At 43.6% G+C, this 11975-nt stretch overlaps 1 annotated feature.

The window, feature by feature from the left end:
• Positions 260-309: an enhancer, noted in NCBI's record as "active region_7092". NCBI's record gives its function as "activates an Ori minimal core promoter by ATAC-STARR-seq in GM12878 lymphoblastoid cells {active_cell/tissue: GM12878}" and the evidence as "EXISTENCE:reporter gene assay evidence [ECO:0000049][PMID:35858748]".

The following is an 11975-nucleotide window of genomic DNA, read 5'->3' as shown; positions in this document are numbered from 1 at the left end:
TGTGCTTGACATAGAGTCACGAACTCTTAGACTACGGAATCTGCCCTTCAATTTCCCCCTTTCCACTACTGGATTCAGCTACCCCCTGCTTGCCTTCGATTGTTTCAGTTCTTCAAGTTTAAATTTCTGAAAGAGGCCGGATGTGGTGGCTCATGCCTGTAATCCCAGCACTTTGAGAGGCTGAGGCTAAGGCAGGCAGATCACTTGAGGCCAGGAGTTCAAGACCAGCCTGGGTAACATGTTGAAACTCCGTCTCTACAAAAAAAAATACAAAAATTAGCCAGGCGTGGTGGTGCATGCCTGTGGTTCCAGCTACTCGAGAGGCTAAGGTGGGAAGGTCAATTGGGCCCAGGAGGTTGAGGCTTCCGTGAGCCATGACCGTGCCACTGCACTCCAGCCTGGGTGAGACAGCGAGACTCTGTCTCAAAAGTAAATGAATTAATAAATAAATTTCTCAGAGAGGTCTGATTCTCTTGTGTTTTGAGTCTGACTACACGGTAGGTCATGAGCCCAGTCCAATTAGACAGAAAACAGCTGACCGTGGCTCCTCTAAGCAGAGCACCGCAGGCAGGGGAGTTCCCATACAAAGGGAAGTTGGGTGTGACGGACTCCATGTCAACATAACCACCTACAGTCAGAGGGGTCATTGCAGCAGATCAGCCACGTCATCATCCTTTACTGAAGCCATCACATCACTCCCACTAGCAACAGATTCATACCCAGAGTTATCTTTTTTTTGTTTGTTTGAGACGGAGTCTCCCTCTGTTGCCCAGGCTGGAGTATAGTGGTGTGATCTCGGCTCACTGCAAGCACCACCTCCCGGGTCCACGCCATTCTCCTACCTCAGCCTCCCGAGTAGCTGGGACTACAGGTGCCTGCCTCCACGCCTGGCTAATTTTTTTTGTATTTTTAGTAGAGACAGGGTTTCAGTATGTTAGCCAGGATGGTCTCAATCTCCTGACCTTGAGATCCGCCCACCTTGACCTCCCAAAGTGCTGGGATTACAGGCGTGAGCCACCGCGCCTGGCCCATACCCAGAGTTATCTTGATGGTGCTGACTATAATCCTATACTCAGGACATTGGTTCAGTCACAAAGGTTGGGGAAAAATGATTATAAATTCTCCTAATGCAGACAGTGATGATGGTTGGGATGCAAATTATCACTGAGCAATTTTTTTTTTTACCACTGCATTTGCATTAAACCATTTGAATACTACTGAATGATTTATATGTTGAAAGGGACTCTATTCCCCATTGCAGGAGATGAGAGGCACAATTAGCTCATGATTAGTCATCTCTGAAGAAGAGGCATAACGGGTCCGAGTGGGAAAGTAGAAATTCATAGTTTCACCAGGCACGGTGGTGCATGCCTGGAGTCCCAGCTACTCGGGAGGCTGAGAAGAGAGGATCTCCTGAGATGGGAGTTCAAAGCCAACTTGGGCAATATAGCGAGACCCTGTCTCAAGAAAGAGAATGGAAGGAAGAAAGGAAGGAAGAAAGGGAGGGAAGGAGGCAAGTTATCTTAGGATTGCACATTGGGTCTGCCTTTCTAAAGAACAATTTGGCAATAGCTATTAAATACTAAATATACAAAATCTTTTTGATCCAGTAATTCTAGGAATTTGTGGTAAGAACATAATCAGAGTTGTATTGGAAAATATTTCTCCAAGGTGGTTCACTGCAGCATTAATATAATACTAAGCCAGGCGTGGTGGCTCACGCCTGTAATCCCAGCACTTTGGGAGGCCAAGAAGGGTGGATCACGAGATCAGGAGTTCGAGACCAGCCTGACCAAAATGGTGAAACCCCGTCTCTACTAAAAATACAAAAATTAGCCGGGCATGGTGGCGTGCGCCTGTAATCCCAGCTACTCAGGAGACTGAGGCAGGAGAGTCACTTGAACCCAGGAGGCAGAGGTTACAGTGAGCCGAGATCACATCACTGTACTCCAGCCTGAGCAACAGAGCGAGACTCCATCTAAAAAAAAATACATATATATGTGTATATATATATTGTATATGTGTGTGTGTATATATATAGTATATATGTGTATATATGTATGTATATATATTACTAAAAAAATTTGGCCAGGCTCAGTGGCTCACACCTGAGCCCATCACTTTGGGAGGCTGAAACAGGTGGATCACTTGAGGTCAAGAGTTGGAAACCAGCCTGGCCAACATGGTGAAACCCTGTCTCTACTAAAAATACAAATTTAGCTGGGTGTGGTGGTGCACGACTGTAGTTCCAGCTACTCGGGAGGCTGAGGCACGAGACTTGCTTGAACCCAGGAGGCAGAGGTTGCAGTGAGCTGAGATAGCACCACTGCCCTCCAGCCTGGGGCAACAGAGTGAGACTCCATCTCAAAAATAAATAAATAAATAAATTTTTTTTAAAAAAATTAGGAGCAACCTAAATGTCCAATAATTGAAGATTAGCTAAGTAAATTATGGTGCATCCATGTGATAGACTCAGTGCAGTCCAAAAGAAATTATGTGAAAGAGTATTAAATGACATAAGAAAATGTGGTATTTTAAAAAGCAAGCTGGCCAGGCGCAGTGGCTCACACCTGTAATCCCAAAACTTTGGGAGACCGAGGCAGGTGGATCACGAGGTCAGGAGTTCAAGACCAGCCTGGCCAAGATGGCGAAACCCCTTCTCTACTAAAACTACAAAAAATTAGCCGGGCGTGGTGGCAGGTGCCTGTAATCCCAGCTACTTGGGAGGCTGAGGCAGAGAATTGCTTGAACCCGGGAGGCAGAAGTTGCAGTGAGCCGAGATCGCGCCACTGCACTCCAGCCTGGGTGACACAGCAAGACTACAACTCAAAAAAAAAAAAAAAAAAAGAGCAAGCTGTAGAAATTATGAACAATACACCATTTCTGTAAGGTTAGTTTTGAAAATCTTTGGGCAACAGGGTAGAGTGGAGGAATAATATAGTGATTAAGGCCAAGGCTTTGTGCTCAGACAGATAAAAGTTGAATTCTTAGCTCTGGTACTTAACAGCTTGAATACTGTGAGCCTCAGCTTATCCATCTGTGAAATGGGACTAGGACAGCGACTATCTAACACCTAGGGCATGACACTTATTAAACAGATGTTCCTAACTAGAATGTTGGGCAATGAACAGTATGTATGTGTGTGTGTGTGTGTGTGTGTGTGTGTGTGTGTGTGTATGTTAGCTCACTGTGGGTGCTTTCTTGATACATTCAATTCTTTCTCAATTAGGCAGGTATTGCTATTGTAATTAGGAACAAAGTCATTAACATAAAAAATAAAAGGCATAATAGTTTAGAGAGGAACCCCAGGAATATTATTCAACATCAGAAATGTCATCAGGACAGAAGGAATGTCAACTGTGTGCTAATTTGCCACGCAAATTTTGCTCTCGGAGTCGTCTGTTTCAAATCATGTTGTGGCATTTCTGTTCCTCTTTTTCTTAAGGACTTGTTCCAAGAATTAAAACAATTTTTTTTCTTTAATAAAAGAAAAAAGGAAAACCCCCAAACTTCAAGCCATGTGGGTGAGTGCAATTTGCAGAAAATATTTCCAAAATGTTGTAGCCAATATAGGCCATGTTTTAAACCTCAGATATCTAAGCAAATATCTAAGTTTTGCTTATAAACCATATGAAGTCCCTCAGTTTGGTAACACCTTGCTTGTTGGAAATTATTTAGAGGGAAGGTTCCAGGGACATTCATTGGTTTTGCCGGCCCAGTCTCCAATCCCCCTCACCTCCCAATCCCATCATCTGGCATCTGAACCTGGATATTTATCTGGGAAACTACCTCCTTCCATCTAGAAGCGTGATTCAATGGGGCCCACCCATGTCTTGGTTTGACTCAGTTCTGACCAATAAGACTATTACATTGTTCTGGCCACCAGGATTGGCTCGAGGGTGGGCATGTAACCCAAGCTAAGGCAATCAGAGTCAAGGAATCTTAGCCCTGGGATTCTTGCTAGAGTTATTGACAAGTAGATGCTCTCTTTCCACTGGGGCGCTAGGTGATGGTGTACGAGGCTGAAACTGCTAGAAACAGTTTTAACACCATTTAGAGAAAGCCTGCTTAAGAATGGAACAAACACAAAGGAAGAAAAGCCAAGAAATGGACACAGTCAGATTCCTGCTGATAGCCTTTAAGCACAGAGTTTCAGCCATGCCTAATGCTCGAAAACACTCCTCTCTGTGTAAGCCAATTTGAATTGGTTTTCTGTTGCTTACAACTGAAAACGTCCTGACTACTACAGAAGATCAGTCTGAAGTGGCAAAAACATTAATTCCATTATATGTTCCAAGAGCCAACAGTGTGTACAGTATTTCAGGTGCTAATGACTCATTCAGTGTCTCTTAAGTGGAGCTCCTCCAGAACTGGCTTCAGAGGACACCTAAGAGCCCTTTGTAATTAGCTCATTAAAGGAGCTCTGGCAAAGTGGTTGTCAACTTGCTTGAAAACAGTCATCTTGGCTGGGCGCGGTGGCTCACGCATTTAATCCCAGCACTTTGGGAGGTCGAGGCGGGTGGATCACCTGAGGCCAGGAGTTCAAGACCAGCCTGGCCAACATGGTGAAACCCCATCTCTACCATAAATACAAAAACAAATTAGCTGGGCGTGGTGGCGCATGCCTGTAGTCCCAGCTAATCAGGAGCCTGAGGCAGGAGAATTGCTTGAACCCTGGGGGTGGAGGTTGCAGCGATCCGGGATCAGGCCACTGCACTCCAGCCTGGGTGACAGAGGGAGACTCTGTCTCAAAAACAAAAAAACAAAAAAACAAAACACAGTCATCTTGAGTAGGCTAAGCCTTTCCCTTGCTACCTCAAATACATGATATGGCTTTGCAAAACGTTTTTCAGCGTTAGCACAAATATAGGCCTACATTCAACCTCTGGCCCAATTAATACAATTCTCACTAAAACGTTTAACCCTTTATTTGTAATCCTTTTACCCGAGCAGAAACAGTAACAGAAACAAAACATTGCAAAGAGGTTGTATTTTAGAGAGAGTGAGAGAGACCAGCCACTGTTATGCTTCATAATGGGTTCTACGGATAATGGTGAAGCTATTTATATTTCATTTTATTATCCTGTTTCCACCCCTTTTGCTGTGTTTAAGAAGCTATAGATTGCCTCTAAATGCTGAGTTCCTGGGCAGTTGTTCTTTTTCTTTTGTCAAAATGTTTTAAAGGATAGTCAACAATCGAAGAAGTCAATTCAAGTTGAAGCGAGCCTTTATTGAATTCCCAGTGATCACAGGTCAGGGCCAGACCTAGAGAAGATGAAAAGATGAGGAACCCTAATTCAAGTTTCCTGGAGATCACTGTCTGGTTAAGGAGATAGGAATGTGGTGTAGTGTGGTAGGCCTAGTCTATCTGCATTCAAATCATGGTTCTGTCACTCTAACCAGGTCCTTGGGCAAGTTCCTGAATCTCTCTGTGCATCCGTTGCTTCATCTGTGAAATGGGAAGGATAATGATAGTACCTACCTAATAGTCATGTTCTGATGACTAAATGAGTTAGTACACAGGAACTTCACAGAAGAATGTCTAGCACTCAAAAAAATGTCAAAGTTGTCTTTCTTTCTTATTTTAATCTGTGTCTGGTTTTGATGTTTCCCCAATACTTCTCAGGTATACCTTGGGATCCAAAATCAGCATGGTGATTTTTGGCGATGGTCACTGTGATGGTTAATATTAATTCTCAACTTGATCGGATTGAAGGATGCAAAGCATTATTCCTCAGTGTGTCTGTTAACATCTGACTGGGAGAGGCGGACCCAACCTCAAACTGGGTGGGCACCATCTAATCAGCTGCCAGCACGGCTAGGATAAAAGCAGCCAAAAGAACATGGAAAGACTAGACTGGCTGAGTCTTCCAGCCTCATCTTTCTCCTGTGCTGGATGCTTCCTGCCCTGGAACATCGGACTCCAAGTTCTTCAGCTTTTGGACTCTTGGACTTACACCAGTGGTTTGCCAGGGGCTCTGGGACCTTTGACCATAGACTGAAGGCTGCCCTACTGGCTTCCCCACTTTTGAGGTTTTGGGACTCAGACTGGCTTCCTGGCTCCTCAGCTTGCAGACGGCCTCTTGTGGGACCTCACCTTGTGATCGTGTGAGTCAATACTCCTTAATAAGCTCCCCTTTATATATACATCTATCCTATTAGTCTTGTCCCACTAGAGAACCCTAATACAGTTACATATATCCCAAAATTCCCTCACAAATCCCATAGGAAGCAGCCACACTGGCCATCCATAGATCATTTCTAAATACAGTAAGTCCTGCCCAGCCAGCTGATCCCACGTTATTATTTGGTTGCGAACCAGATGAAGCTATTTCCTTGTATTTAGAGGTCAAATTGTAGGAGAAATGTTAATCTTTCAATATTGTAAAAACATGCATAAACACTGGACTCCTACTTAGGGCAGCAAAGGGCCACATGGGAAAAGAAGCTGGTGATTCCTGAGACTGGTGAAGGATCAGCCATCTGCAGCTGCCACCCTAACCTCACCCTGGACATGCTCCCATTCCACAGCCTGCAGAAGCAAACTGCCTGTACTTATATTATGCTTGCTTTCTCTTCACAAGCATACGTGACTGAGTCCGTGTACATTAAAGGCTTATGACAATTTTCTGTGTTTAATTTTTTTTCTTTTTTCTTTTTTTTTTTTTTGGAGACAGAGTCTTACTCTGTCCCCCAGGCTGGAGTGCAGTGGTGCCATCTTGGCTTACTGCAACCTCTGCCTTCCGGGTTCAAGCAATTCTTGTGCCTCAGCCTGGGATTACAGGCATGCACCACGCCTGGCTAATTTTTTGTATTTTAGTAGAGACAGTGTTCCACCAGCTTGCCCAGGCTGGTCTCAAACTCCTGAGCTCAGGCAATCCACCCACCTCGGCCTCCCAAAGTGCTAGGATTACAGTCATGAGCCACCGAACCCGGCCCAATTCCCTATATTTAATTCTGCTTCATATTAAGACAGTTTGGAAATGGTAGACATCGGGCCACATTTGGCATCTGGGGTTCCCAACCCACTTTTACCTGGTAAAAATGTTAAAAAGTATGAGAGCTGGAGTTCCAAGCATGAGACTTGAGTCCAAAGCCTGGAACCACAGTTTACCAGGGGGTGACCCAGGGCTGGTCACTTCATCTCCTTCAGCGTTAGTCTCTTCCTATGAAAAAGAGGATCTTGAAAATATTCACCACCGACAGTTGCTGAGAGATGAAGATTAAGTGCACATAGTTGTTAGATTTTAAGTGCATTCATAGCCAGGTGTGGTGTCTCACACCTGTAATCCCAGCACTTTGGGTGTCTGAGGTGGGAGGATCCTTGAGGTCAGGAGTTTGAGACCAGCCTGGGCAACATAGTGAGAACCCATCTCTACAAAAAATAAATTAAAAAAAAAACTAGAGGCCAGGCGCGGTGGCTCACACCTGTAATCCCAACACTTTGGGAGGCTGAGGCGGGTGGATCATGAGGTCGGGAGATCGAGACCATCCTGGCTAACACGGTGAAACCCCATCTCTACTAAAAAATACAAAAAAAATTAGCCAGGCGTGGTGGTGGGTGCCTGTAGTCCCAGCTACTTGGGAGGCTGAGGCAGGAGAATGGCGTGAACCCAGGGGGTGGAGCTTGCAGTGAGCTGAGATCATGCCACTGCACTCCAGCCTGGGCAACAGAGCCAGACTCCGTCTCAAACCAACCAACCAACCAAACAAACAAACTAGAATCGGCCGGGCGTGGTGGCTCACGCCTGCTATCCCAGCACTTTGGGAGGCCTAGATGGGCGGATCACCTGAGTTTGGGAGTTCGAGACCAGTCTGAACAATATGGAGAAACTCCATCTCTACGAAAAATACAAAATTAACCAGGTGTGGTGGCGTGCGCCTGTAGTCTCAGCTACTAGGGAGGCTGAGGGAGGAGAATTGCTTGAACCCAGGAGGCAGAGGTTTCAGTGAGCCGAGATTGTGCCATTGCACTCCAGCCTGGGCAACAGGCTAAAACCACGTCTCAAAAAAAAAAAAAAACAAAAAACTAGAAAGTGCATTCACGTATTATTTAGTATCTCGACAAATTTAGCATGGTACCAAGGTCTAAGTGAGTCTAAGAGACTAAGTCTAAGGGTTTAAGTCAGTCCCTGACCTCAAGAAGCACCCAGCTATATGGAGAAGGTGTCATAGCAAATGTATAATGCCACTATGATATGGCAAGCATGATCACCATTATTTCAGAGTAACTGCCAATACTCCAGTCTTTTTGTAGCTTCAAATAAAATGATCTGTTTTGTTTTGACAGTTAGTTAATACATGTTTGGACCACTTGTGTTATATATTTTGGAAGAGAAACACAATTTGGGTTATATATACACTCTGAATATCCATATCCTTCCTAGCCATGATATTAGGAGGATTGACCAGTACAGTTAGTCTTTTTTAAAAAATACTTATTTATTTTTAATATTTACTTTAGGTTTAGGAGTACATGTGCAGAGTTGTTGTTTAGGTACATTGCATGTCATGGGGATTTACTGTACGGATTATTTCATCATCCAGGTAATAAACATAGTACCCAACAGGTAGTTTTTCTGTCCTTTCCCTCCTCCCATCCTCTACCTACAAGTAAGCCCTGGTGTCTGTTGTTCCCTGCTTTGTGTCCATGGGTGCTCAATGTTTAGCTCCCACTTATAAGTGAGAGAATGTGGTATTTGGTTTTCTGTTCCTCCGTTAGCTCATTTTGGATCGTGGCCTCCAGCTCCATCCATGTTGCTGCAAAGGACATGATCTCACTCTTTTTTATGGCTGAGTAGTATTCTATAGTGTATATGTACCACATTTTCTTTATTCAGTCTACCGTTGATGGGCATTTAGGTTGATTCCATGACTTTGCAATTATGAATAGTGCTGTGATAAATATATATATGCATGCAATGAATATATACCTGCATATGTCTTTATGATAGAACAGTTTATATTCCTTCGGGTATATACCCAGTAATGAGATTGCTGGGTTGAATGGTAATTCTGTTTTAATTTCTTTGAGAAATTGCCATACTGCTATCCACGATGGCTGAACTAATTTACATTCCTACCAGCAGTGTATAAGTGTTCCCTTTTCCCTACAACCTTGCCAGCATCTGTTATTTTTTGACTTATTAATAATAGCCATTCTGATGGTGTGGATGCTATCTCATTGTGGTTTGGATTTGCATTTCTGTAATGATTAGTGATGTTGAATATGCTTTGTTGGCCACATGCATGTCTTCTTTCGAAAAGTGTCTGTTCATGTCCTTTGCCCACTTTTTTAATGGAACCGTTTATTGTTTTGTTTGTTAATTTAAGCTCCTTATAGATTCTGGATATTAGACATTTGTCAGATGCATAGTTTGCGAATATTTTCTCCCATTCTGTAGGTTGTCTGTTTATTCTGGTTGATAGTTTCTTTTGCTGTACAGAAGCTCTTTAGTTTAACTAGATCCCATTTGTCAATTTTTGTTTTTGTTGCAATTTGATTTGACATCTTCATTATGAAATCTTTGCCAGGGTCCATGTCCAGAATGGTATTTCCTAGGTTATCTTCCAGGGTTTTTACAAGTTTTAGGCTTTATATTTAAGTCTTTAATCCATCTTAGGTTGATTTTTGTATGTGGGGTAAGGAAAGCGTCCAGCTTCAATCTCTTCTGCATATAGCTAGCCAGGTATTCCAGCATCATTTATTGAACAGGGAATCCTTCCCTCATTGCTTTTTTTGGTCAACTTTTTCAAAGATCAGACTGTTGTAAGTATGTGATTTTTATTACTGGGCTCTCTATTCTGTCCCATTGGTGTTTGTGTCTGTTTTTGTACCAGTACCATGCTGTTTTGGTTATTGTAGCCTTATAGAACAGTTTGAAGTCAAGTAATGTGATGCCTCCAGCTTTGTTCTTCTTGCTTAGGATTGCCTTACTATTTGGGCTTTGTTTTTTTTCTTTTTGTTCCATATGAACTTTGGAATAGTTTTTCCTAATTCAGTGAAAAATGCCATTAGTTTGAGAGGGATGGCCATGAATCTGTAGATTCCTCTGGGCAGTATGACCTTTTTTTTTTTTTTTTTTTTGAGATGGAGTCTTGCTCTGTTGTCCAGGCTGGACTGCAGTGGGCAATTGAGGCTCACTGCAAGCTCCGCCTCCCGGGTTCACACCATTCTCCTGCCTCAGCCTCCCGAATAGCTGAGACTACAGGCGCCCGCCACTAAGCCCGGCTAATTTTTTTTTGTGCTTTTAGTAGAGATGGGGTTTCACCATGTTAGCCAGGATGGTCTCGATCTCCTGACCTGGTGATCCACCCGCCTCGGCCTCCCACAGTGCTGGGATTACAGGCATGAGCCACCATGCCCGGCCGCAGTATGACCATTTTAACAATATTGATTATCCCTGAGCATGAAATATTTTTCCATTTGTTTGTGTCATCTCTGATTTCTTCAAGCAGTGTTTTATAATTTTCATGGTAGAGATCTTTCACCTTGCTGGTTAGCTGTATTCCTAGATATTTTATTCTTTTCGTGGCTATTGGGAATGGGATTGTGTTCATGATTTGGCTCTCAGCTTGGACGTTGTTGGTGTACAGAAATGATACTGATTTTTGTACATTGATTTTGTATCTTGAAACTTTGTTCAATCAGTCTTTTTTTTGGTTCAGGAAAATAATTTTGAATGACTGTTCATGATTAAATCAAACAGATTTGTTTTCCACTAGTAAACTGTAGTTCACCATTATTGAGTGCATGCTGTGCATATTTTCTATTGAAAAGCGCTCCAGCTTGGCATCAAATGGGCTCTAGCATTTATTAGCCTCAGGGTCTCCTCTGAAAAATGGGCAGGAATAGCACCTACCTGATAGTGTCAATGTAAGGATTCAGTAGGGTGGCTCGGCACCACAGGAAGTATTCAATATGGGCAATAATCACCATTGTCCTTGCAGAAGAAGCCTGGGCAGGAGAGAGATTTTTCTGTGCTGAAAAGACCTTTGTGACTGCTCTGAGCTCTTCAGGGAGACCAGTGGTGTCCAATTTAAAAGAGGGCTTATGGCCGGGTGCAGTGGTTCATGCCTGTAATCCCAGCACTTTGGGAGGCAAAGGCCGGTGGATCACTTGAAGTTAGGAGTTCAAGACCATCCTGACCAACATGGTGAAAGCCTGTCTCTACTAAAAATACAAAAATTAGCCAGGCATGGTGGCATATGCCTGTAATCCCAGCTACTTGGGAGGCTGAGGCATGAGAATTGCTTAAAACTAGGAAGTGGAGGTTGCAGTAAGCCGAGATGGTGCCATTGCACCCCAGCCTGGGCAACAGAGTGAGACTCCATCTCAAACACACACACACACACACACACACACACACACCCCAATAAAAGAGAGGTTAGATTGTCATGTCAGCACGTAAGGCAAAAATGAATGGGGTCAAATTACCCTTGAAAATTCTCTTCCCATAAAGTAGGGTGTATATGATATTGTTTATAACACATTCAGGTTAGAGAACCACTGAGTCAGACCACTGAAGGGAGTGAAAGATATGTTTACCTACAGCTGCCTGGGCATTGCAACCATTCTGTCTCTAAGGAAGTGAGTCTCAAGTAGGGGCAATTTTTGTCCCCTGGAGGACATTTGACAATGTCTTGAGACATTTTGATTGTCATTCCTAGAGCAAGGTATGCTGTTGGCGTCTAGTAGGTAGAGGCCAGCAATGCTGCTCAACATCGTGCAGTGTACAGGACAGCCCCCAAGAACAAATATCCAACCTGAATGCCAGTAGTGCTAAGGTTGAAAAGCTCTGCCTTACTATCAAGCCACACTTAGGAATGAGGGATGGGTAGAGTCTGCTAGGATGTTTCTGTTTGTCCTGGGGTTTAATTAGATGCCATATATAAAAGCCCTTAGCACAGGGCCTGGCACACAGTAGGTGCTTAATAAACATCTAATGGGTTTGAGGTTAAAGCTTGCTTGATGG

Source organism: Homo sapiens, chromosome 12 (genome assembly GCF_000001405.40).
Source record: "Homo sapiens chromosome 12, GRCh38.p14 Primary Assembly".
In the NCBI taxonomy this organism is placed as follows: domain Eukaryota; kingdom Metazoa; phylum Chordata; class Mammalia; order Primates; family Hominidae; genus Homo; species Homo sapiens.
This window is presented reverse-complemented; position numbering and strand designations above follow the sequence as displayed.